This window comes from Homo sapiens, chromosome 1 (genome assembly GCF_000001405.40).
Source record: "Homo sapiens chromosome 1, GRCh38.p14 Primary Assembly".
NCBI lineage: Eukaryota > Metazoa > Chordata > Mammalia > Primates > Hominidae > Homo > Homo sapiens.
In genome coordinates this window covers 155,552,211-155,574,626 of record NC_000001.11, presented here as the reverse complement: position 1 = coordinate 155,574,626, position 22,416 = coordinate 155,552,211, and the positions used below count along the sequence as shown (strand labels likewise).

The 22,416-nt window shown below is 45.1% G+C and overlaps 2 protein-coding genes, 1 long non-coding RNA gene and 1 pseudogene across 16 annotated transcripts in view, besides 6 other annotated features; 1 reads left to right on the top strand and 3 right to left on the bottom strand.

Moving 5' to 3' along the window:
• Positions 1 to 11,381, bottom strand: part of MSTO1 (misato mitochondrial distribution and morphology regulator 1) — a 51,722-nt gene extending 40,341 nt beyond the window's left edge. For both annotated transcript variants that reach the window (XM_047424007.1, XM_047424008.1), the window contains exon 1: positions 11,298 to 11,381. The gene's annotated coding sequence lies outside the window, so the exon portion shown is untranslated. The remainder of the gene's footprint in view (positions 1 to 11,297) is intronic.
• On the bottom strand, positions 2,845 to 4,065 carry LOC101929703 (uncharacterized; annotated as a pseudogene).
• Positions 10,315 to 10,609: a silencer, noted in NCBI's record as "tiled region #7926; K562 Repressive non-DNase unmatched - State 1:Tss". NCBI's record gives its function as "represses a minimal TATA promoter and a strong SV40 promoter by Sharpr-MPRA in K562 cells {active_cell/tissue: K562}" and the evidence as "EXISTENCE:reporter gene assay evidence [ECO:0000049][PMID:27701403]".
• On the bottom strand, positions 10,683 to 12,585 carry ASH1L-AS1 (ASH1L antisense RNA 1). Of its 2 annotated transcripts, none has more exons than NR_147963.1 (2): positions 12,341 to 12,585; positions 10,683 to 11,646 (listed from the first exon to the last, which is right to left on the bottom strand). It is a non-coding gene; the product is annotated as an ASH1L antisense RNA 1 (long non-coding RNA). The 2 variants fall into 2 exon arrangements; NR_147964.1 differs by having other exon boundaries at positions 10,683 to 11,377.
• Positions 11,238 to 11,805: an enhancer, noted in NCBI's record as "H3K27ac hESC enhancer chr1:155532613-155533180 (GRCh37/hg19 assembly coordinates)". NCBI's record gives its function as "activates a minimal SCP1, AML or CMV promoter by ChIP-STARR-seq in primed H9 embryonic stem cells {active_cell/tissue: H9 hESC(primed)}" and the evidence as "EXISTENCE:reporter gene assay evidence [ECO:0000049][PMID:30033119]".
• Positions 11,238 to 11,833: a biological region, named in NCBI's record as "H3K27ac hESC enhancer GRCh37_chr1:155532613-155533180".
• The window catches only part of ASH1L (ASH1 like histone lysine methyltransferase), a 227,935-nt gene continuing 216,943 nt past the window's right edge, over positions 11,425 to 22,416 (top strand). For 6 of the 12 annotated variants that reach the window (XM_047425247.1, XM_006711451.4, XM_017001786.3 and 3 more), the window contains exons 1-2: positions 11,786 to 11,848; positions 12,332 to 12,474. The gene's annotated coding sequence lies outside the window, so the exon portion shown is untranslated. Of the gene's footprint in view, positions 11,555 to 11,717; positions 12,475 to 22,416 lie in introns of those variants that run through there. The other 6 variants (XM_047425248.1, XM_017001785.2, NM_018489.3 and 3 more) reach the window with 4 other exon arrangements.
• Positions 11,694 to 11,833: a silencer, noted in NCBI's record as "silent region_1408". NCBI's record gives its function as "represses an Ori minimal core promoter by ATAC-STARR-seq in GM12878 lymphoblastoid cells {active_cell/tissue: GM12878}" and the evidence as "EXISTENCE:reporter gene assay evidence [ECO:0000049][PMID:35858748]".
• Positions 11,884 to 12,033: a silencer, noted in NCBI's record as "silent region_1407". NCBI's record gives its function as "represses an Ori minimal core promoter by ATAC-STARR-seq in GM12878 lymphoblastoid cells {active_cell/tissue: GM12878}" and the evidence as "EXISTENCE:reporter gene assay evidence [ECO:0000049][PMID:35858748]".
• Positions 13,755 to 14,049: a silencer, noted in NCBI's record as "tiled region #11909; HepG2 Repressive non-DNase unmatched - State 2:TssF". NCBI's record gives its function as "represses a minimal TATA promoter and a strong SV40 promoter by Sharpr-MPRA in HepG2 cells {active_cell/tissue: HepG2}" and the evidence as "EXISTENCE:reporter gene assay evidence [ECO:0000049][PMID:27701403]".

Here is a 22,416-nt window from a genome sequence, read left to right as displayed (position 1 = left end):
CCACTGCACTCCAGCCTGGGTAACAGAGTGAGGTCCTATTTGAAAGCAAGCAAACAAACAAACCAATGTAAACTTACAGATGAGTTGCAAACGTAGTACGAAGAGCTTTCGTACACTCTTCATTCAGCTTTCCTTAATGTTATATATATGTCTATATATATATATACAACTATAGGACAGTTATCAAAATTAAGAAATTAAAGTTGGAACAATACTATTTACTAAACTACAGATTTTATTTGGATTTCCTCAGCTTTTCTGCTATGTCTTTTTCTTTTTTTGAGACAAGGTCTTGCTCTGTCACCTAGGCTGCAGTGTGATGACGTGATCTTGGCTCATTGTAATCTCCACCTCAATCCTTGGACTTCAGCCTCTCAAGTAGCTTGGACTACAGGCATATGCCACTACACTTGGCTAATTTTTGTGTTTTTTGTTGAGATGGGGTTTCACCATGTTGTCCAGGCTGGTCTTCAACTCCTGGGCTCAAGCGATATGCCTGCCTCTGCCTCCTAAAAGTGCTGGGATTACAGGCGTGAGCCACTGCACCCAGCCTAATGTCTTCTTTTTGTTATAAGATCCAACAGAAGATTCCACATCTGAAGATCTTTTTGTTTTTTAAAATCTGTCACCAACATATTACCCACCCTTTAAAAATTTTGCAAAAGGTATAAATTTGAAAAATATATCCACATCGATCTCATTCAAGTCATTGATACAACTATTTAACAGGATACGATTGCCTAGCATAGCCTGGGTACAGTTTGTAATTTTTTTTTTTTTTTTTTTGTGAGATGGAGTTTTGCTTTTGTCACCCAGGCTGGAGTGCAATAGCGTGATCTCGGCTCACTGTAACCTCTGTCTCCTGGTTTCAAGCAAGTCTCCTGCCTCAGCATCCCTAGTAGCTGGGATTACAGGCACCTGCCACCACGCCCAGCTAATTTTTGTATTTTTAGTAGAGTCAGGGTTTCACCATGTTGGCCAGGCTGGTCTCAAACTCCTGACCTTAGGTGATCAGCCAGTTTCACCATCCCAAAGTGCTGGGATTACAGGCGTGAGCCACTGCGCCTGGTCAGTTCGTATTTTTTTTTTCCGTAGGGACAGGGTTTCGCCATGTGGTCCAGGCTAGTTTCAAACTCCTGAGCTCAAGCGATCTGTCTACCTTGGCCTCTCAACTGCTGGCATTACAGGCGTGTGCCACCATTCCCAGCTAATTTTTCTATCTTTTTTGTAGAGAAAGGATCTCATTATGTTGCCCAGGTTGCTCTCAAACTCTTGGGCTCAAGCGATCCACCTGCCTTGGCCTCTCAAAGTGCTGGGATTATAGATGTGAGCCACTGTCTGGCCCACTTGGGTATAGTTTAAAAATTCTGATACCCAGAGTGTGCCTCAGATCAATTAAATCAGCCTCTGATAGTGACCCAGGCATCAATATTTTTAAAGCTCCCCAGCTTATTCCAATGTGCAGCCAAGAGTGATAACCACTGCCTGTATGTCCATGGTTAAGGGAACTTCAACCCATTTTGCTAACATGTAGCCTTTGGGTATGGTTATTCAACCAATTAAACATTCAGTATACATTTCTCCAAAAAGCCACTGTGCGAGATTATCAAATGCCTAACTTTAATGAGGACATACCAATAATGGAATTTGATCTACCATTCTAAGAATTCTTTTTTTTGACTGGCGCAGTGGCTCACACCTGTCATCTGAGCACTTTGGGAGGCCAGGGCGGGTGGATCGCCTGAGGTCGGGAGTTCGAGACCAGCCTGACCAACATGGAGAAACCCCATCTCTACTAAAAATACAAAATTAGCCAGACGTGGTGGCGCATGCCTGCAAACCCAGTTACTTGGGAGGCTGAGGTGGGAGAATCGCTTGAACCCAGGAGGCGGAGGTTGCAGCAAACCGAGATCATGCCATTGCACTCCAGCCTGGGCAACAAGAGCGAAACTCCATCTCAAAAAAAAGAAAAAAAAATTCTCCATCTCCCGGGTTCAAGCAATTCTCTGCCTCAGCCTCCCGAGTAGCTTGGGATTACAGGTGCCCGAAACCATGGCTGGTTAAGTTTTGTATTTTTAGTAGAGACGGGGTTTCACCATCTTGGCCAGGATGGTCTTGAACTCCTGACTTCGTGATCCACCAGCCTGTCCTCTCAAAGTGCTGGGATTACAGGCGTGAGCCACCGCACCCGGCCATTCCAGGAATTCTAACAAGAAGGATATATTTGTCTGTCATGACTTTCTTTTGTACTAAACCCAGACTGATTCCTCATGATCAGTAATTCTTTCTCTAAATTAGTAGTTCTCTACCAGGGGGATTTTGTCCCCTCCCCCAACATTTGACAATGAATGTTTGGAGGCATTTTGGTTGTCACAGCTGAGGGAGGGAAGGGAGGATGCTATTGGCATCGAGTGAGTAGAGGCCAGGTATGTTGCTAAAGTCTACAATGCACAGGGAGTCCCCCACAACAAAGAATGATCCATCCCCAAATGTCAACAGTGTTGAGGTTGAGATTGTCCTAAATCCCAAGTCCCATAGGAAAAGTTTGGCTCACAAAGACTAATTTCTTTTTTTTTTTTTTTTTGAGACAAGAGTCTCACTCTGTCGCCCAGGCTGCAGTGCAGTGGCGCAATCTTGGCTCACTGCAACCTCCGCCTCCTGGGTTCAAATGATTCTCCTGCCTCAGCCTCCCAAGAAGCTGGGATTATAGGTGTCTGCCACCACATCCGACTAATTTTTGTATTTTTAGTAGAGATGAGGTTTCACCATGTTGGCCAGGCTGACCTCCTGACCTCAAGTGATCTGCCCTCCTCGGCCTCCCAAAGTGCTGGGATTACAGGCGTAAGCCACCATGCCAAGCCACAAAGAGTAATTTCATTGTTTTCATAATTTCAGAGAGAAAAAGCAGAATTCCTTATGCTGTATTTTCTCATCTTAATAATATCTATCTCCCCAGGTTTGGATTCCTAGAGCAATGTTAGAGCTATAAAAGTAAAAGAGTTCTGAAATTTACTGATTATCACAAACTTCAACAGTGCTAACTTCTCCAAGCTCTAAGGTTTTTGTTTGAGATAGGGTCTCCTGCAGTCTCCAAGGCTTGAGTGCAGTGGTATCATCGCTCACTGCAGTCTTGAACTCCTGGGCTCAAGTGATCCTCTCCCTTCAGCCTCCTGAGGAGCTTGGACTACAGCAGGGGTGTCCAATCTTGGCTTTCCTGGGCCACGTCGAAAGAATTGTCTTGAGCCACACATAAAACACACCAACACTAACAACAGCTGATGAGCTAAAATAGCAACAACAACAATGAAATCACAGAAAAAAAAGGCTCTTAATGTTTTAAGAAAGTTTATCAATTTGTGTTGGGCCCTATTCAAAGCCGTCCTGGGTTGTATGCAGCCCATGGGCCACAGGTTCGACAAGCTTGGACTATAGGCATGTACCACCATGACTGGCTAATTTTTACTTTTTTATAGAGATGGGGCTATGTTGCCAGGCTGGTCTTCAGCTCCTGGCCTGAAGCAATTCTCCCACTTTGGCCTCCCATAAAGTGCTGGGATTATACATGTGAGCATTGTGTCCGGCCAACCTCAGTCTTGTAGCTATAGGTGTTTTTGCTAGAAATAATGCATGTGGTTTACAATTCTGATAACAGTGCAAGTGATGATACAATATACACTTTTTAAAGCTCCCCAGCTTTTAAAGCTGCATTAGCTCTTCTGCAATGAAGAAAGCAAGAAGGAAGGAAATACAGTAGTCCACCCTTATCCTCGGGAGATCCCACTGCAGGATTCCCAGGGGATGCCTGAAACCATACAGAGTACTGATCACTAAATAAATAAACACACACACAAACACACACACACAGTTTTTTCCTATAGGTATATACCTATAATCAAGTTTAATTTATAAATCTGGCACAGTAACAAATGAACAGCAATAACCAATAAGAAAACGGAACAATATACCATACAAAAGTTATGTGAACATGGTCTCGCTCATTCTCAAAATATCTCATAGTACCGTGCTCACCCTTCTTGTGTTGAAGTGAGATGATAAAACGCTTATAAGATAAGATAAAGTGAATGACTTAGGAATTCTGATGTAGCTAATATCAACCTTCTGACTATACCTAAGAAGGGGGATCATCTTAGGGTGATCCTGAATCACTGAGTCATGCTGATGTCCACAGATGGATGTCAAAAGCCGATGATGTCAATGACTGACCAATGGGAGCACGTACAGCGTGGTTATGTTGATTCATATCCAGGACAGGGTGGTGCAAAATTTCATCACGTTACTCAGAACAGTGGACAATTTAAAACTTAAACTACTATGGAAGGGACTATGACTGCTTCTTAGGGTAGCAGATATTCTAGATACTCTTCAGCAAAATGGACTCCACACTGTATCTGATAGGTTTCAAAAGACTTCAAAAAAGGCATGTTAGTGTACACACATGACTGGGATTAACATTCTAGAATTTTAGGACTCAATGGTACACCACTGAGGTATTGAAATGAATTCAACTGTAAATTTAGATTATGGTTCTGAGGTGGAGATGCATAAAAATGAAAACTTAAAACAAATACCAACACAATTGGGTATTTCTGGGTACTAACGTTCCAGGTAATTATCTTTCTCGACTTTCATTTCTAATGTTAATAGTTAGCAATATCAATAATATTGTTTATAAAAGAAATACTGTCCAAACTTTATTAAGGTGCTCATGTTAACACTTAAGGTTTCAGATTTTCAAACTTGGGATGTTCAAACAGTAGGTATAATACAAATATTCCAAAATCCAACAAAATCTCAAATCCACAACATTTCTGTTCCCAAACATTTTCGTAAAAAAAACCTAAAAAAACAAAAAAACCAAAAAAAACAACTGGCCGGGTGCAGTGGATCATGCTTGTAATCTCAGCACTTTGGGAGATTGAGGAGGGTAGATCACAAGGCCAGGAGTTTGAGAACAGCCTGGCCAACATAGTGAAATCCTGTCTGTACTAAAAATACAAAAAATTAGTCAGGCGTGGTGGCGGGCACCTGTAATCCCAGCTACTCGGGAGGCTGCGGCAGTAGAATTGCTTGAACCCGGGAGGGGGAGGTTGCAGTGAGCTGAGATTGCGCCATTGCACTCCAGCCTGGGTGACAGTGCGAGAATCTGTCTCAAAAAAAAAAAAAAAAAAAAAGACCGGGCGCAGTGGCTCACGCCTGTAATCCCAGCACTTTGGGAGGCCGAGATGGGCGGATCATGAGGTCAGGAGATCGAGACCACCCTGGCTAACATGGTGAAACCCTGTCTCCACTAAAAATACAAAAAATTAGCTGGGCGTGGTGGCGGGCGCCTGTAGTCCCAGCTACTCAGGAGGCTGAGGCAGGAGAATGGCTTCAACCCGGGAGGTGGAACTTGCAGTGAGCTGAGATCGCGCTACTGCACTCCAGCCTGGGTGACAGTGCAAGACTCTGTTTCAAAATATAAATAAATAAATAAATAAAAATAAAAAACCCTTGGGAGGCCGAGGCAGGTGGAACATTTGAGGTCAGGAGTTCAAGACCAGCCTGACCAACATGCTGAAACCCCGGCTCTACTAAAATACAAAACTTAGCTGGGTATGGTGGTGGGTGCCTGGAATCTCAGCTACTCAGGAGGCTGAGGCAGGAGGAGAATCACTTGAACCCGGGAGATGCAGGTTGCAGTGAGCCAAGACTGCACCACTGCATTCTAGCCTGGGCAACACAGTGAGACTCCTTCTCAAAAAAAAAAAAGAAAAAGAAAAAGAAAAAGAAAAAGAAAAAAAGGCCGGGGGCAGTAGCTCAAATCTCAAATTCAAAACATTTTTGTTCCCAAACATTTTCGTAAACAAAACAAAACAAAACAAAAAAACTGGCTGGGTGCAGTGGATCATGCCTGTAATCCCAGCACTTTGGGAGACTGAGGCGGGTGGATCACAAGGTCAGGAGTTTGAGACCAGCCTGGCCAACATAGTGAAATCCTGTCTCTACTAAAAACACAAAAAATTAGTCAGGTGTGGTGGCGAGCATCTGTAATCCCAGCTACTCAGGAGGCTGAAGCAGGAGAATCACTTGAATCCGGGAGGCGGAAGTTGCAGTGAGCTGAGATCACACCACTGCACTCCAGCCTGGGCAACAGAGTGAGACCGCATCTCAAAAAACAAACAAAAAAAACTCAACCTGTACCCAAACAAAAATCTCAAATTTCTTCCGTCTTAAATAAAAATTTTTTTTGGCTGGGCGCGGTGGCTCATGCCTGTAATCTCAGCACTCTGGGAAGCTGAAGTGGGTGGATCACAAGGTCAGGAGTTCAAGACCAGCCTGGCCAAGATGGTAAAACCCCATCTCTACTAAAACTACGAAAATTAGCTGGGCACAGTGGCGGGCACCTGTAATCCCAGCTACTTGGGAGGATGAGGCAGGAGAACCGCTTGAACCCAAGAGGCGGAGGTTGCAGTGAGCCCAGATCGTGACACTGCACTCCAGCCTGGGCAATAGAGTGAGACTCCGTCTCAAAAAAAATAAAATAAAATAAAATAAAATAAAATAAAATAAATAATTTTTTTTTTTGTTCAGACAGGGTTTCGCTCTTGTTGCCCAGGCAGGAGTGTAATGGTGCAATCTCCGCTCACTGCAACCTCTACCTGCTGGGTTCAAGTGATGCTCCTGCCTCAGCCTCCCAAAGTAGGTGGGATTACACGCGCCCACCACCATGCCCAGCTGATTTTTTTGTATTTTTAGTTGAGACGGGGTTTCATCATGTTGGCCAGGCTGGTCTCGAACTTCTGGCATCAGGTGATCCACCTGCCTTGGCCTCCCAAAGTGTGGGGTTACAGGCATGAGCCACCACGCCCAGCCAATATTTTTAATGGCTCTTGGCGAGGCACAGTGGCTCATGCCTAAATCCCAGGAACTTGGGAGGCCAAGACGGGTGGATCACCTAAGGCCAGGAGTTCAAGACCAGCCTGGCCAACATGGCGAAACGCTGTCTCTATTAAAAATACAAAAATTAGGCCGGGCGCGGTGGCTCACGCCTGTAATCCCAGCACTTTGGGAGGCCGAGGCGGGCGGATCACGAGGTCAGGAGATCGAGACCACGGTGAAACCCCGTCTCTACTAAAAATACAAAAAAATTAGCCGGGCGCAGTGGCGGGCGCCTGTAGTCCCAGCTACTCGGGAGGCTGAGGCAGGAGAATGGCGTGAACCCGTTAGGCGGAGCTTGCAGTGAGCGGAGATCGCGCCACAGCACTCCCGCCTGGGCGACAGAACGAGACTCCGTCTCAAAAAAAAAAAAAAAAAAAAATTACAAAAATTAGCCAAATTAGACAGGCGTGGTGACACACACCTGTAGTCCTAGCTACTCAGGAGGCTGAGGCGGGAGAATCACTTGAACCCGGGAGGCAGAGGTTGCAGTGAGTTGAGATTGCTCCACTGCTCTGCAACCTGGGTGACAGAGCAAGACTCTGTGGGGAAAAAAAAAAAACCAACTCTTATGATTACATAGCATTTACCATAACTCGTCAAATGTAAAGTCAACCCTGACCATACTTCAGTAAATTTTATCTTAGAAAAAACAAGTTCCTGCCCAACAGTAGTCCCGGCTACCGAGGAGGCTGAGGCAGCGGTAGGATCCCTTGAGCATGGGAGCTAGTCTGCAGCCTAGGCAACATAGTAAGAGCAGGTTAATATTTTAACCTGGCCGGGTGTGGTGGCTCACACCTGTAATCCCAGCACTTTGGGAGGCCGAGACGGGCGGATCACCTGAGGTCGGGAGTTCAAGAGCAGCCTGACAAACATGGAGAAACCCCATCTCTACTAAAAATACAAAATTAGCCAGGCGTGGTGGCACATGCTTGTAATCCTAGCTGCTTGGGAAGCTGAGGCAGGAGAATTGCTTGAACCCGGGAGGCGGAGGTTGCAGTAAGCCGAGATCACGCCATTGCACTCCAGCCTGGGTAACAAGAGTGAAACTCTGTCTCAAGAATAAAAAAAAAAAAATTAACTTTATTTTGTTTTACATTTTAGAGACAGAGTTTCACTCTCTTGCCCAGGCTGGAGTGCAGTGGTGTGTGATCATGGCTCACGGTAGCCTCAAACTCCTGGACATGCCACCATGGCCTGGCTAATTTTTCTTATTTTTTGTAGAGATGGGGGTCTTGCTATGTTAACCAGGCTGGTCTTGAACTCCTGGCCTCAAGTAATCCTCCTGCCTCAGTCGCCCAAAGTGTTGGGATTTATAGGCATGAGCCACTGCGCCCAGCCTGAAACCTCATTTTAAAAGTTTTTATCAGACCAGGACCCCAAGATGGAGTCGGCTGTACCAGTGAAGGAGAAGAAACTCCTGGATGTCAAACTAGCAGAACTGCCAAACTAAATATTAACGTGTGATCTCACACAAGAAGGCACTGTTGGAGCGTTCAGAGAGGTTACTACAGGTATTATGACAAGCACTCCAATTTGAAGAAAGGGAGCTTCGACGGTGGTGCTGTGGTGCTGGCAGCTTACATGCTTTTCCATTATTGTCTTTCTGAAAAGGAACACAAGCATGGGCAGCTACAGAAGTAAAACTGAAGAGGGCCATTGCAGAGAGCTCACTCCTGGATAATCTCCCTAGTTTAATGTCAGCTGATTAGCAACCTTAATTCCCTCTGCATCCTGAATTTTCCCTGGTCATGTAACATATCATATTTACAGGTTTTAGGGATTAAGAAGTGGATATCCTTGGGGAAACCATTATTCTATCTTCATTGGTTCAAATAATTCAGGGTTTGTTCATTCAGTGAGGTCATTTTATTGAGCACTTAATATATTTTAGTCTCTAGTTGGCTCTGGGGCATACATGAAAAAACAGAATCGTATCTCATTTGCTTGTATGTAGCTGATAATTCATTGATCAGTGTAGTTAATGAAACTTATTTTAACACAGAGACCATATGTAAGTAACTCTCCCTATACACTGGTGTGGTGAAATTCCAGTAAAGGCATTTTTTTTTCTTTGAAGCACAGCAATTATGCTGCTGATGAGAAATTTTACTTTGAAGAAAATGTGGTATAGTGAAAAAAGTAAGGTTTTTAAAAGACAGGCAAACTAGAGTCTAAAGATTGTTACTGGACTTCTCTGGGCCTCAGGCTTCTCTTTTGTAAAATGAGGGTAAGATTATCTACCTCAAAGTGTTGTTTATTATAAGGATTAAACAGGAATACGTGTTCCCCTGGCACAGTAGTCCACAAATGCTAATTGTCTTTCTCTTCTGGTATTTTAAGTATCTAACATTCATTTCAATATTTCTTTTCTTTTTCTTTTTTTTTTTTTTTTGAGAAGGAGTTTCACTCTCGTCTCCCAGGCTGGAATGCAAAGGCGTGATCTCGACTCACTGCAACCTCTCCCTCCTGGGTTCAAGCGACTCTCCTGCCTCAGCCTACCAAGTAGGTGGAACTACAGGCGCTCCACCATGCCCACCTGATTTTTTTTGGATTTTTTTTTTCTTTTTAAGACAAAGTCTCGCACTGTTGCCCAGGCTGGAGTGCAGTGGTGCAATCTCCACTCACTGAAATCTCTGCCTCCCGGGTTCAAGCAATTCTCCTGCCTCAGCCTCCCGAGTAGCTGGGATTACAGGCGCCCACCACCACGCCCGGCTAATTTTTTGTATTATTAGTAGAGACGGGGTTTCACTATGTTGGCCAGGCTGGTCTTGAACTTGTGACCTCGTGATCCATGCGCCTTGGCCTCCCAAAGTGCTGGGATTACAGGCGTGAGCTACCACACCCAGCCTCATTTCAATATTTCTGTGACTTGCTTTGCGCTAGCCTGTGATGCTTTATGTAAATTAAGTAGTAGACATAGTCCCTGTTCTCAGATAAAACAAGTTATTGGTAGCATAATACACTTGCACGCATGAAGCAACTAACAAAAGATCGGTAAACAAGTGGGCTCCATGAAAGTGTGGGACTTGGTTAGGAAAATATACAATGAGGTAATTAAGGCTGCTTTCCTCTTTACCTTAAAGAAACGAAACAAGTAAACAACACTTAATCCACGTATCCTAAAGGGGAAATTTGGGACTGTCTACTTGAATTTTGGAGGTTGCAAGGGCTTTTTATTTTTATTTTTTTCCCTCAGATGGAGTTTCGCTCTTGTTGCCCAGGCTGGAGTGCAATGGCACCATCTCGGCTCACTGCAATCTCCGCCTCCCAGGTTCAAGCGATTCTCCTGCCTCAGTCTCCTGAGTAGCTGGGATTACAGGCGTCCACCACCACGCCTGGCTAATTTTTGTATTTTTAGTAGAGACGGGATTTTGCCATGTTGGCCAGGCTGGTCTCGAACTCCTGACCTCAGGTCATCCGCCCACCTTGGCCTCCCAAAGCGCTGGGATTACAAGCGTTAGCCACCGCGCCCGGCCTTGCATGGGCTTTTGAACAGTCATTTCTGAATTACTTCCTGGATCCCCAGGAGTCCACAAATGTGAAGGAAAGGGAAACCCAAGTAGATCCTTCCGGTAATTTATTCTGCTTTACCCTTTAGGTAAAGGTAAAAACTACTAGATCAAGTAAACTTTGGAATTATTTGTGGACTTTAATCGTCCGTATTTCTGCTGCATTCAATTATCAAATATCAGTCAAGTGTTTTGAGAAACAAATATTCAGTAGCCACAGAAACCTAACAGGCCTATGTTTGCTTTGTTTTATTAACTCCTTGGAGGGACAGAACACTACCAATTACACCCACAAACGTTATCGACATCAACAGAACTGTAAATGACAACACGGCAATATTCTGCACTTTCCCTATGCCTAGGAGCTAATTCCACTTTACATATATTATCTTATTATTTCACACATTAACCCTGGAGGCATGTTTGGAGTTGCCTAATTTTTATGTACACTTTTTGATAAGGAACTAACAAAAATAACTTGCTGAAGGAAGAAAAGGGAGACTAAGTCCAGAACTGAATGAAAAGCACATGGTTTCTTCATCCTCCATCACCAGGCTGTCTAACGAGGCTGAAGAAGTACCATCCATGAGTAAGTGCGTCAAGGGCAAACAAACATCATCGCATATGGACAGTGGTGTGAAATTCGAGAAATCCGAGGAGGGTTAACAACAACAAAAAGCACACCACCACGCCGATCTTCCTCGGGTCCCAGGTTGGCAACTCAACGCCCGGGAGGAATCCCCCCGGAGGCGCGCCGGTCCTACTGGCCTCACTCCCTACCTCCTGGAGGTCCGGAGTCCCGCTCCTTTCCCTCAGCGGTACAATACCCGTGTCGGTCCATTCCCTCACCGTGAGTCGAGGACTAGTTCTCCTGACTAGGCGACCGGCACACACCGCCTGCGACCAGCTCCACAGCAGCGGTCCTGCTACTGCGAAGTAGGCTCAGGTCAACCGGCAGGAAACGACTCAACGCGCAGCCGCCGCGGCCTCCAACCACCGGTGGGCAGAGGGGCGCTAGGCAGTCCTCGATCCGCTCGCCGCGATCCGGCGGAGGAGGAGGAGCAGAGGGAGGCGAGCCGCAGCGCTGCGGCGAGGAGCCCAGGGAGGTAGGTTGTCGTGGGGCTCGGTCCGCCATTCTGGCAATTCCAGTCAAACGGCAAGCCCCGACCCGCTCGGCCCGTCCCTTCCTCTCCTGCCCCTGCAGCCGACAGGAATGGAACAGTCCCGCGGGGGGGATTGTGGGAGGCGCACGCGCGAGGGGTGGAGGGTGGTAGGGGGGGCTGGCGGCGGCGGCGGCGGCCGTGGCGGCGGTTGGTGGCCGTGGGGGCGGGGAAGGGGGGGGAGGAGAGAAGAGGAGGTGGAGGAGGAGGAGGAGGAGGCTTGGGCTTGCGCCGTTGAAGGTACGCGTGAGGGCCTGCGCCGGCGCCGGCTTGACAGGGCCTGAGGGGTAGTGAGGGACTGGACGAGGGGGTTCCTGTGGGTGAGCGCGTACGGGCTGGCTGGCGCGCGGGGCGGCCGAAGGTGGTGGTTGGTGGGAGCAGCCAGCGACGAGCCCGTAGACACTCGTACGCGTGCGGGCGGGCGTGCGCGCTACGCGGACGGAGTCGGGCGGAGCGGGGGACGGTGGGAAAGAACGCAAGGAGGAAGGAGTGGAAGGTTGAGGGGGGCGCTAGGCGCCCTTCGCTCCCTCCCTCTGGAGGAGCTGCCGCCGCCACCGCCGCCACTCTGCTGCTGCCGCCGCCGCCGCCGCCGCTCCCGCCGCCATTTTGGGTTCGCTTTGCGGAGGGGAGACGATCCCAGTCTCGGTTGCGGGACCCGCCTCCCCTCAGTTTGCCCCCTTTAGCCTTCCACCTTTCCCTTCTCCTCTCTCGCATTTCCGCCAGTCAGCTTACCCGCTGGCCGCCTCCTGACAAGCGGGAGGGATCCGCCGTGGACCCAGGGAAGCGGAGGAGCCTGGCGGCCACCCCCTCTTCCCCACTTCCCTGCACTCTCATCGCTCTCGGCCTCGGCCTCGGCCTCCGACACGGTGAGTAGAACGATTTGGGCCGGCATTCGGGCCTAAGCACTCTCTCAGCGATTGAATCCTGGGCTTTCTGGGAGCCACTGTCATCTCCCGGACCTGGATCTCTGAGAGAGCAGTGGTGAAGATGGGGGAGGGGAGAGCAGGGAGGGGGATCCTGAGCCTACCGGGAAGTCCCTCCAGGCGGGGTGAAGGGGTGTCCCTGACAGGCAGACTCCCGGAGGGGGCTGGGAAGTAAGCGAGTGGAGGCGGAGTCGGCTGTGCCCCTGACAGGTTAGTTTGTGTTTGTAGGCATGATCGGAGCCTCCCCCATAGTCCAGTTTGTGTGTGTTTAATTAAGGGATAAGAGTGGTCGAGGACACGATCTTGAGAGGGGATTTTACCTGTGTGACAAGGTCTGTGGTGTCCCTGCCGCGTTGAACGGTATGTGGGAACGACAGGATGATCTCAGTGTTGTAAGTTTAATAAATGTCACTGGTTAGTTTGTACATGGAAAGAGATGTTTTTGGTCTAGCAGACAGATGGTCTGTTGGTGTGTAGCGGCTGTGTTGGTGTGTGTATGTGAGGATGGCAAGTGTTTCCGTAAGAGTTTGCCTTTATTTGTGTAAGTGTAATGGAGTTCCCCTTATAAGTTAGCTTATTTCTTGAATAAATGTTGGGAGGTTCCTTGCAGGTTGATATGTGTGTGTATTTTAGGGATTGGGAGCCCCTAGTTACTTGTTGGGAAAGAGCGGCAATGGTAGTGTTCTGTACAGCATGTGTCTGTGAGGTCAGGGAGGGGAGAAACTTGGCATAGCCAGTTGTGGTCTTAAGAATAGTTTGTGCCTTTGGTTAGAGTGAGTTGTGTAAATGTGAAGGGCCAAAATATCTTTAACAGAATCATTACTACAAAGTTGTAAAGAATGGGTGGCCTTATTTGTTGTCGCGGGTTTATAGTAATAGTTTACAATACAATAAGAAAGCTCTTTCAGTTTTTTTGTGATACTGAATCTCTGTGAAAATGGTAGGATGCTTTCTTCCATTTTACAAAATAGGAAATTTAGGCATAAGGAGAGAACTTCTCCAAGGCCGCATGTTAAATTGGTGACAAAGTTGGAACTGTAACTCCCATATTTTCACTACTACTGCAGCAGTATATTCAGCATACCATGGTGCCTCAGGAAGTCTTTGTCGGCAAATCTGAGTATGCTGGAAAGATAGGAGCACATAAGACTGGTTGGCTTGTATTTGGGGGAGACCGATTGTGTCAGATATGTATGTGGAACGTAGCTGTCCTTGCCGAGTCTGACCTGTATGAAATGCATATCCATGACTATATTATTTTGGATTTATGGAGGAAGCAGAGCATTTCTGACACTTGAGGTTGTATGTGTGAGGGAGAGAAGGCTTTCACAGCTTAACTTGTACCAGAGCAGCTGCATGGGTGCTGACAGCTTAACTTGAAATCTGTGGGAGGAAGGATCCTTTTTCATTCATTCAACAAATATTTGTTGACTGCCTGTTCAATAAATGGTCCATGCCTTGGCGTGAGGATAATCAAGGTGTCTCTGTAAATAGCCTGGGTACAACGTGAGGGGAGTTGTTTTGACAGTGGTGGGTATTAAGTTGAGGGAGGCGGTGTGGAATTAAAACCAGAGAACTGTTTTTGGGTTCTGGTAATTGTTAATACATGTGCCTGTGGATGTTGGAACTTCTTGGCTGGGCTGAAGGAATCCTTTGAAAGACTCATTTCATATAGTAAGAATCCCCTCTATGAATATGAAGAAAGAATGCATAAACTAAGCCACTTAACCGTATTCTTCTGAAAAATGGGATGTTTCTTGATAGGCTAGATGAGTGGTTCTTAAAATTTTTTGGGGTCACTTATCCTTTTGAGAATCTGATGAAAGACACTGGGCCCTCAAGTTAGAAGATGAGCATAAGCACAATCACATGATTTATATATATGATTTTAGGAACTTAAAATGTAATAAAATAGAGCCAATTTATATTTAGGTCTCATTTGAAAACCTTTCATTTTCATTGTTCGGGTGTGTGGATGTTAGTATGAGTTTAAGATGAAAGAGTCTATGGTATTTGAACATGTTGACAGGAGAACTTTAGGGTCCATGTTTTTTATTCTTTTTATCATCTGCAAACTTATTTCTGCAGTATTAGTAAAGGACTCTGAATTTGGTGATAAGGGAATATAATATAGCACAAGTATCTATGGCTTTGTTCTTTGTCAGTATCTTTTTGTTCCTAAACTCTGAGAAGTGGGTTTGTCTTTTTTCAGTTTTGGATTGGGCCTGAGGTGATTTGAAGCTCCTGTCTTGGAGTTTAGCTTAGTTATAACAAACACTGAGTTAATCCTATGCAGGAGACACAAAAATCAATAATATATGGTCTCTGTGCTTGAAGAGATGCTAATTCAGTTGAGTCTGAATTGTTTGATGGTGGCAGCTCTCAAAAGGACAAGGAAGAGGGAAACATTCCTAGAAGTTGAAATTTTGTTACCCAATTGCAAAGAGATTTTTGCCACTACTTACTCTTTGAATAAGCATAAAGTGTTTATACTCTGTATGCAGCTTTGTACTTTAAAAAAATATGTTTTGTATCATCTTGTGCTTTTTTTTTTTTTTTTTGAGACTGAGTTTCACTCTTGTTAACAGGCTGGAGTGCAGTGGCGCTATCTCAATTCACTGCAACCTCTGCCTCCTGGGTTCAAGTGACTCTCCTGCCTCAGCCTCCCGAGTAGCTGGGATTACAGGCATGTGCCACCATGCCCTGCTAATTTTGTATTTTTAGTAGAGACAGCGTTTCTCCATGTTGGTCAGGCTGGTCTGGAACTCCTGACAGATGATCCACCCGCCTCGGCCTCCCAAAGTGCTGAGATTACAGGGGTGAGCCACCGCGCCCGGCCTCATCTGGTGTTTTTGTATAAAGGAACTATTGGTTTGAGAAGAAGGCAAACATTTATATTTCTTACCTTCTTTTGGGATATATTTCTACAGTGCGTTTATGTAAAAAGGTTTTGATGTCGCTGGGCATGGTGGCTCTCACTTGTAATCACTTTGGGATGCTGAAGAGGGTGGCTCACCAGAGGTCAGGAGTTTGAGACCAGCCTGGCCAACGTGGCAAAACCCCGTCTCTACTAAAAGTACAAAAATTAGCCAGGCATGGTGTGTGTGCCGGTAGTCCCAGCCAGTTGGGATGCTGAGGCAGGAGGATCTCTTGAATCCCTGAAGTGGAGGTTGCAGTGAGCCGAGATCCACCACTGTACGCCAGCCTGGACGACAGAGTGACTCTCTCAAAAAAAAAAAAAAAAGAAAAGAAAAAGGGGCCTAGGGCCTGGCATAGTGGGTTATCCCTATGATCCCAGTGCTTTGGGAGGCTGAGCCAGGAGGATCACTTGTGCCCAGGAGTTTGATACCAGCCTGGCCAACATAGGAAGACCCCATTTCTACAGAAAGTTAAAAAATTAGAATGAACACCTGCAGTCCTAGCTACTCTGGAGGCTGAGACAGGGGAATTACTTGACCCAGGAGTTGGAAGCTGCTGTGAGCTATGGTGGTGCTACTGCACTCCAGCCTGGGCAATAGCGTGAAACACTGTCTCTTTAAAAAAAGGAAAAGGATTTTCATGTTCTACTCTTGAGTTATATTGTGAAATAGAATACAGCACATCACTTTTTAAATTTTTTTTTTTGAGAGAGAGTTTCGCTCTTGTTGTCCAGCCTAGAGTGCAACAGCGCGATCTCAGCTCGCTGCAACCTCTGCCTCCTGGGTTCAAGGGATTCTCCTGCCTCAGCCTCCCCAATAGCTGGGATTACAGGTGTGTGCCACCACGCCCGGCTATTTTTTATGTATTTTTAGTAAAGACAGGGTTTTGCCATGTTGGTCAGGCTGGTCTCAAACTCCTGACCTCTGGTGATCCACCCGCCTCGGCCTCCCAAAGTGTTGGGATTACAGGTGTGAGCCACCGCACCTGCACATCACTTCTTAATAACTTGCTAGGTACTGTGTCTTTATAGTATTAGCAATTCCACTTGAGTCTTTATTCTGAGTCTTCCTCCATGCTTTATTAATATTGAATTGGCCACCTTCATTTCTGCCCAAGACAATGTGGAAGCACACAGTGGAGAAGTCTTACTATGTGTAAGATTGTGGTGGTGGTGGTCTCCATTTAAAATAACTTTGTATTGCTATTTGAATAATGTGTATTGATCTGAGTCTTTTAAAGGTAGTATACAACCTCACTATAATCTGCTGTGAGATCTGCTTAGGCCAGCCTTTTCAGCAGCATGTAGTATTTTAAACCTGGGTGCCGCAAGAGGTGGAAATGCAACTAGTTCATTTTTGTTTTGTTTTGAGGTATGCTGCTAGTTTCTGTTATCATTTTCCTTAAAATTAATTTTAGTGTTTTTTCATTTATATTTTTTCATATGAAGAGGCTAGATTTTCTTATTGCTTGTCATCATAGTTAATAATAGTCTTATATTTCACGTTTTAGAAATCGCTTTTTTAGTGACTGCCTCATCAGGCCTGTAATTGGCAGAATGTGATATTTATCAAAATTAACTTTAAAATAATGATTTCTAGGCCGGGCGTGGTGGCTCACACCTGTAATCCCAGCACTTTGGGAGGCCGAGGTGGGCGGATCACAAGGTCAGGAGAACGAGACCATCCTGGCTAACATGGTGAAACCCTGTCTCTACCAAAAATACAAAAAAAAAACCCAAAAAACAAAATTAGCCGGGCATGGTGATGGGCACCTGTAGTCCCAGCTTCTCAGGAGGCTGAGGCAGGAGAATGGTGTGAACCTGGGAGGTGGAGCTTGCAGTGAGCCAAGACTGCGCCACTGCACTCCAGCCTGGGTGACAGAGCGAGACTCTGTCTCAAAAAAAAAATAAATAAATAAAATAATGACTTCTAGTGATGACAGAAATTTAACCAATAATCTTACTGCTATTTCAGAGTTGTATTTTTTCATTGAACAGCTAAGTTTTCATGTTTGGAAATCTATGAAATTTTTATTGTAGTATTATATTTGCTTTTCATAGTCTTTAGTCATTTGCCCTCAGACATACACAAGTTGATGACAAGGTTGTATACTTTTTTCCATCTAATTAAAAAAATTTTTTTGAGACAGGGTCTTACTATGTCACCCAGGCTAGGGTGCCGTGGTACGAGCATAACTTACTGCATGCTCTACCTCTTGGGCTCAAGCAGTCCTTCCATTGTCCCAAGTAACTGGGATTACAGGCACATGCCACCACGCCTGGCTAATTTTTAATTTTTTTGTAGCGATGGAGTCTCACCGTGTTGCCCCCACTGGTCTCGAACTTCAGCAGTCCTCCCTCTTCAGACTCCCAAATTGCTGGAATTATAGGCATGAGCTACCACACCTGGGCAATTTTGTTCATTTAAAAATATTTTTGGCCAGGTGCAGTGGCTCACACCTGTCATCCCAGCACTTTGGGAGGCCGAGGTGGGCAGATCACGAGGTCAGGAGTTCGAGACCATCCTGGCTAACGTGGTGAAACCCCGTCTCTACTAAAAATATAAAAAATTAGGCGCAGGTGGCATGTGCCTGTAGTCCCAGCTACTCGGGAGGCTAAGGCAGAAGAATCAGTTGAACCTGGGAGGTGGAGGTTGCAGTGAGCTGAGATCACGCCACTGCACTCCAGCCTGGGTGACAGAGTGAAACTCTGTCTCAAAAAATATATATATATACACATACACACACACACACACACACACACACACACACACACACGTATATATATGTATATTTATATTTATAATTTTTTACAGCTGGGGTCTGGCTGTGTTGCCCAGACTGAACTTGAATTCCCAGGCTCAGTTGATCCTCCCACTTTAGCCACTCAAGTGTTTGGGACCACAGGTATGTGCCACCACATGTATGTGCCACCACATCTGGTTAATTTTTAAATTTTATGTACAGGTAGAGTCTTACTGTGTTGCCCAGGATGGTCTTGAACTCTTGGACTCATGTGGTCCTCCCACCTTGGCCTCCCAAAGTGCTGAGAAATGTGAGCCACAATGCCCAGTCAGCTTTTTATTTCTTTAATGTGGCAAATTGCAAACATATATAGAAATAAAGAGAATAGTATAATGAGCCTTCATGTACTCAACATCCAGCTTCAGCAGTTATCAACACAGTTAACACACTGTTTCCACATCTACCAGCCCCTGTCCCTCCTTCCCCTCTTGCTTATTTTAAAGCAGATCTTCCAGTTATTGTATAATTTCATCCATAAATACTTAAGTATTTAAAAATTCTTTTCACTGTTAAGTGAGGAATTACTCCTTCATAGTTAGGTTTATATAACTTTTAAGTATCTGATCATAGTTGGAACTAAACTACTTACACCATCTACTTCTAATCCATATTACTTATCAGTAGGGAATTCCCTGTGCCAGCTAAGAAGAAATGAGGTAAATAGTTCACATCATTGCTTTTCGATGTTTGCATTGAACATTTAGAACAGTTCCTATGCTATTCAGAATAGCTTATCAGCTTTTTTCAAATGCACAAGAGAGAAACAAAGGGTTTCTTACAGTTTTTTAGTCATAGCGACAAGATGCTAAAAAATGTCTAGTTTTTAGTCCCTAGATTTTCATTTTTTTGTTTTCCATTTTTTTTTTTTTTTTTTTTTTGAGACAGAGTCTCACTCTGTTGCCCAGGCTGGAGTGCAGTGGCGCAATCTCGGCTCACTGCAACCTCTGCCTCCTGGGTTCAAGTGATTCTCCTGCCTCAGCCTCCTGAGTAGCTTGGACTACAGGTGCGAGCCACCATGCCCAGTGAATTTTCGTGTTTTTAGTAGAGACCGGGTTTCACCATGTTGGCCAGGCTGATCTTGAACTCTTGACCTCAAGTGATCAGCCCGCATCGGCCTCCCAAACTGTTGGCATTACAGGTGTGAGCCACTGCACTGGCCTGTGTGTTTAATTTTAAGAGGAAGAAAGTCAAATAACTGTAGGTCAGACTTTAATTCTTTTTTTTTTTTTTTTTGAGACGGTTTCTCACTCTGTCCCCAAAGCTGAAGTGTAGTGGCACGATCTCGGCTCACTGCACCTCTTCCTCCTGAGTTCAAGCGATTCTCCTGTTTGAGCCTCCTGAGTAGCTGGGACTACTGGTGTATGCCACCATGCCCGGCAAATTTTTGTATTTTTAGTAGAGATGGGGTTTCACCATGTTGGCCAGGCTGATCTCTAACTTCTGACCTTCAGGTGATCTGCCCGCTTCAGCCTCCCAAAGTGCTGCGATTACAGGTGTGAGCCACCACACCCAGCTGAGTTTAATTTACTTTAACAAGCCATTCATTTGTTTGTTTTGTATTCATTCATTCCTCACTCCACTGACTAACATTTTTCCAGTGCTTCCACCATACCCATTTCTGTGCTTAGGTGTGGGGAAAAGACATACAGTGTTTTTTTTTGTTTTTGTTTTTGTTTTTTAAATCTCAGATGTAATCCTAGCTCTGTGGGAGGCCAAGGCAGGAGGATTGCTTGAGCCCAGGAGTTTAAGACCAGCCTGGGGGCAACATAAGGAGACCTGGTTACTAAAAAAATAAAAAATTCAGGCTGGGCATGGTGGCTCACGCCTGTAATCCCAGCACTTTGGGAGGACGAGGCGGGTGGATCACCTGAGATTGGGAGTTTGAGACCAGCCTGACCAACATGGAGAAATCCCATCTCTACTAAAAATACAAAATTAGCCCTGTGTGGGGGCACACGCCTTTAATCCCAGCTACTCGGGAGGCTGAGGCAGGAGAATCGCTTGAACCCGAGAGGCAGAGGTTGCAGTGAGCCGAGATTGTGCCATTGCACTCCAGCCTGGGCAAGAAGAGTGAAACTCCGTCTCCAAAACAAAAAGTAAATACATAAATTAAAAAAAAAAAATTCGCCAAGTGTGGTGGCATCCACCTGTGGTCCCAGCTACTTGGGAGGCTGAGGTGAGAGAATCACTTGAGCCTGGGAGATTGAGGCTGCAGTAAACTGTAATCGCACCACTCTACTCCAGCCTGTGTGACAGAGTGAGACCCTGTCTCTAAAGGAAAAAAAAAAAAACTCGGGCCGGGCGCAGTGGCTTACACTTTGAGTGGCTGAGGTGGGCAGATCACGAGGTCAGGAGTTCGAGACCAGCCTGGCCAACATGGTGAAACCCCATCTCCACTAAAAATACAAAAATTAGCCAGGCGTAGTGGCACACGCCTGTAGTCCCAGCTACTCGGGAGGCTGTGGCAGTAGAATTGCTTGAACCTGGGTGGTAGAGGTTGCGGTGAGCCGAGATCTTGCCACTGCACTCCTGCCTGGGTGACAGTGAGATTTCATCTCAAAAAAAAAAAAAAATTCTAATAGGAGGAGCATGTTAACAAACATATTACAGTAATATTATGTAATACATTTGCCTATGTTAACAAACATACTACGATACATACTATGTAATGTTTTTGTCCAAGGTGGGGAAGTTATTCAATCTGTGGTGAGAAAGGAAAGGTTAGGGTGGCTTCCTACAAGTGGGAAGAGCCAGGCTTTAAAGGATAAGTGTGAGACATTCAGACTTAAGAGAGGGCGTTCTAGGTAGAGGGAGATCATCTGCAAACGTATGAACGTATGACACAGCAGGATGAGTGCACTGTAATTTGGATCGGTAAATTTTCAACCCATTCTCTTATGATTTCCTGTGTCTTCAGTGCTATATAAGGTTGGCCTTTGTAATTAGATATCTTCTATCAAATAAAGATGGAAATATGTTCAAAATACTTTTCTTAGACAAAAAACTATTGTTATAAAAGTAATTTCTAGCAAAGATTAATGTCAATAAAATATTTGGTTATATTTTAGTTACTCAGAAAATTTTTACTAGAATGTAACCCACTCAGCATTCTAGTTAATCAGGCCTTGATTATAATAAGTATCTAGCCAGATCTAAAAATGTATAATTAGTTGTCTTAATAATGAATGAATCTCTCAGCATCTGCATTGGTATATTTCCCCTCAATTTGTTGAAAATCCCAAATAGTCATTAAGATCATAGACTCTGAAATCAGATTGATTAGGCTCAGATCTGAGTTTTGCTAACTTATTGACTGTAATTTTGAGCAAAATACTTACAATCTTTGGTTTCCTTGACTGTAAAATATGGTGATATAGTAATGATAATATTTATAGCATAGAGTTGGCGGATTCTACGAGATGATATGTATAATGTGTTTAGCATAATGTGTGCCATGCAGCAAGCAAATAATGTGTATTTGTTATTATTTTAGTTATTTATTTTCTTCATTTCCAAAAAAGAATATAGCAAAGCAGATTACTTCCCTCATAGGTAAGAATATGTAAAATACACTTTTGAAGTGTATATAAGCAATGTCCTTATTTGTATACATATTTTTTCCATTTTCAATTTTTAGCATACTATTTATCTTTTCTCACATGTGAATTCCAATTTCGTATTTTCCCTCTTCATTTTAGCCTAGGTTTTCGTGTTTGGCTTTTTCTTTTTGAGTCAGGGTCTCGCTCTGTTGTCCATGCTGGAGTGCAGTGGTGCGATCTCGGCTCACTGCAAGCTCTGCCTCCCGGGTTCACGCCGTTCTCCTGTTTCAGTCTCCTGAGTAGCTGGGACTACCAGTGCATGACACCACCCTGTTGTAGTTTCTATCAAAACTTCTTTTTGTTTTTTTTGAGACAGAGTCTCACTCTTGTCGGCTAGGCTGGAGTGCAGTGGCGCGATCTCGGCTCACTGCAAACTCCGTCTCCTGGGCTCAAGCAATTCTCCTGCCTCAGCCTCCCGAGTAGCTGGAATTACAGGCATGCGCCACCACGCTCGGCTAATTTTTGTATTTTTAGTAGAGACGGGGTTTCACCATGTTGGCCAGGCTGGTCTTGAACTCCTACCTCAGGTAATCCTCCTGCTTTGGCCTCCCAAAGTGCTGGGATT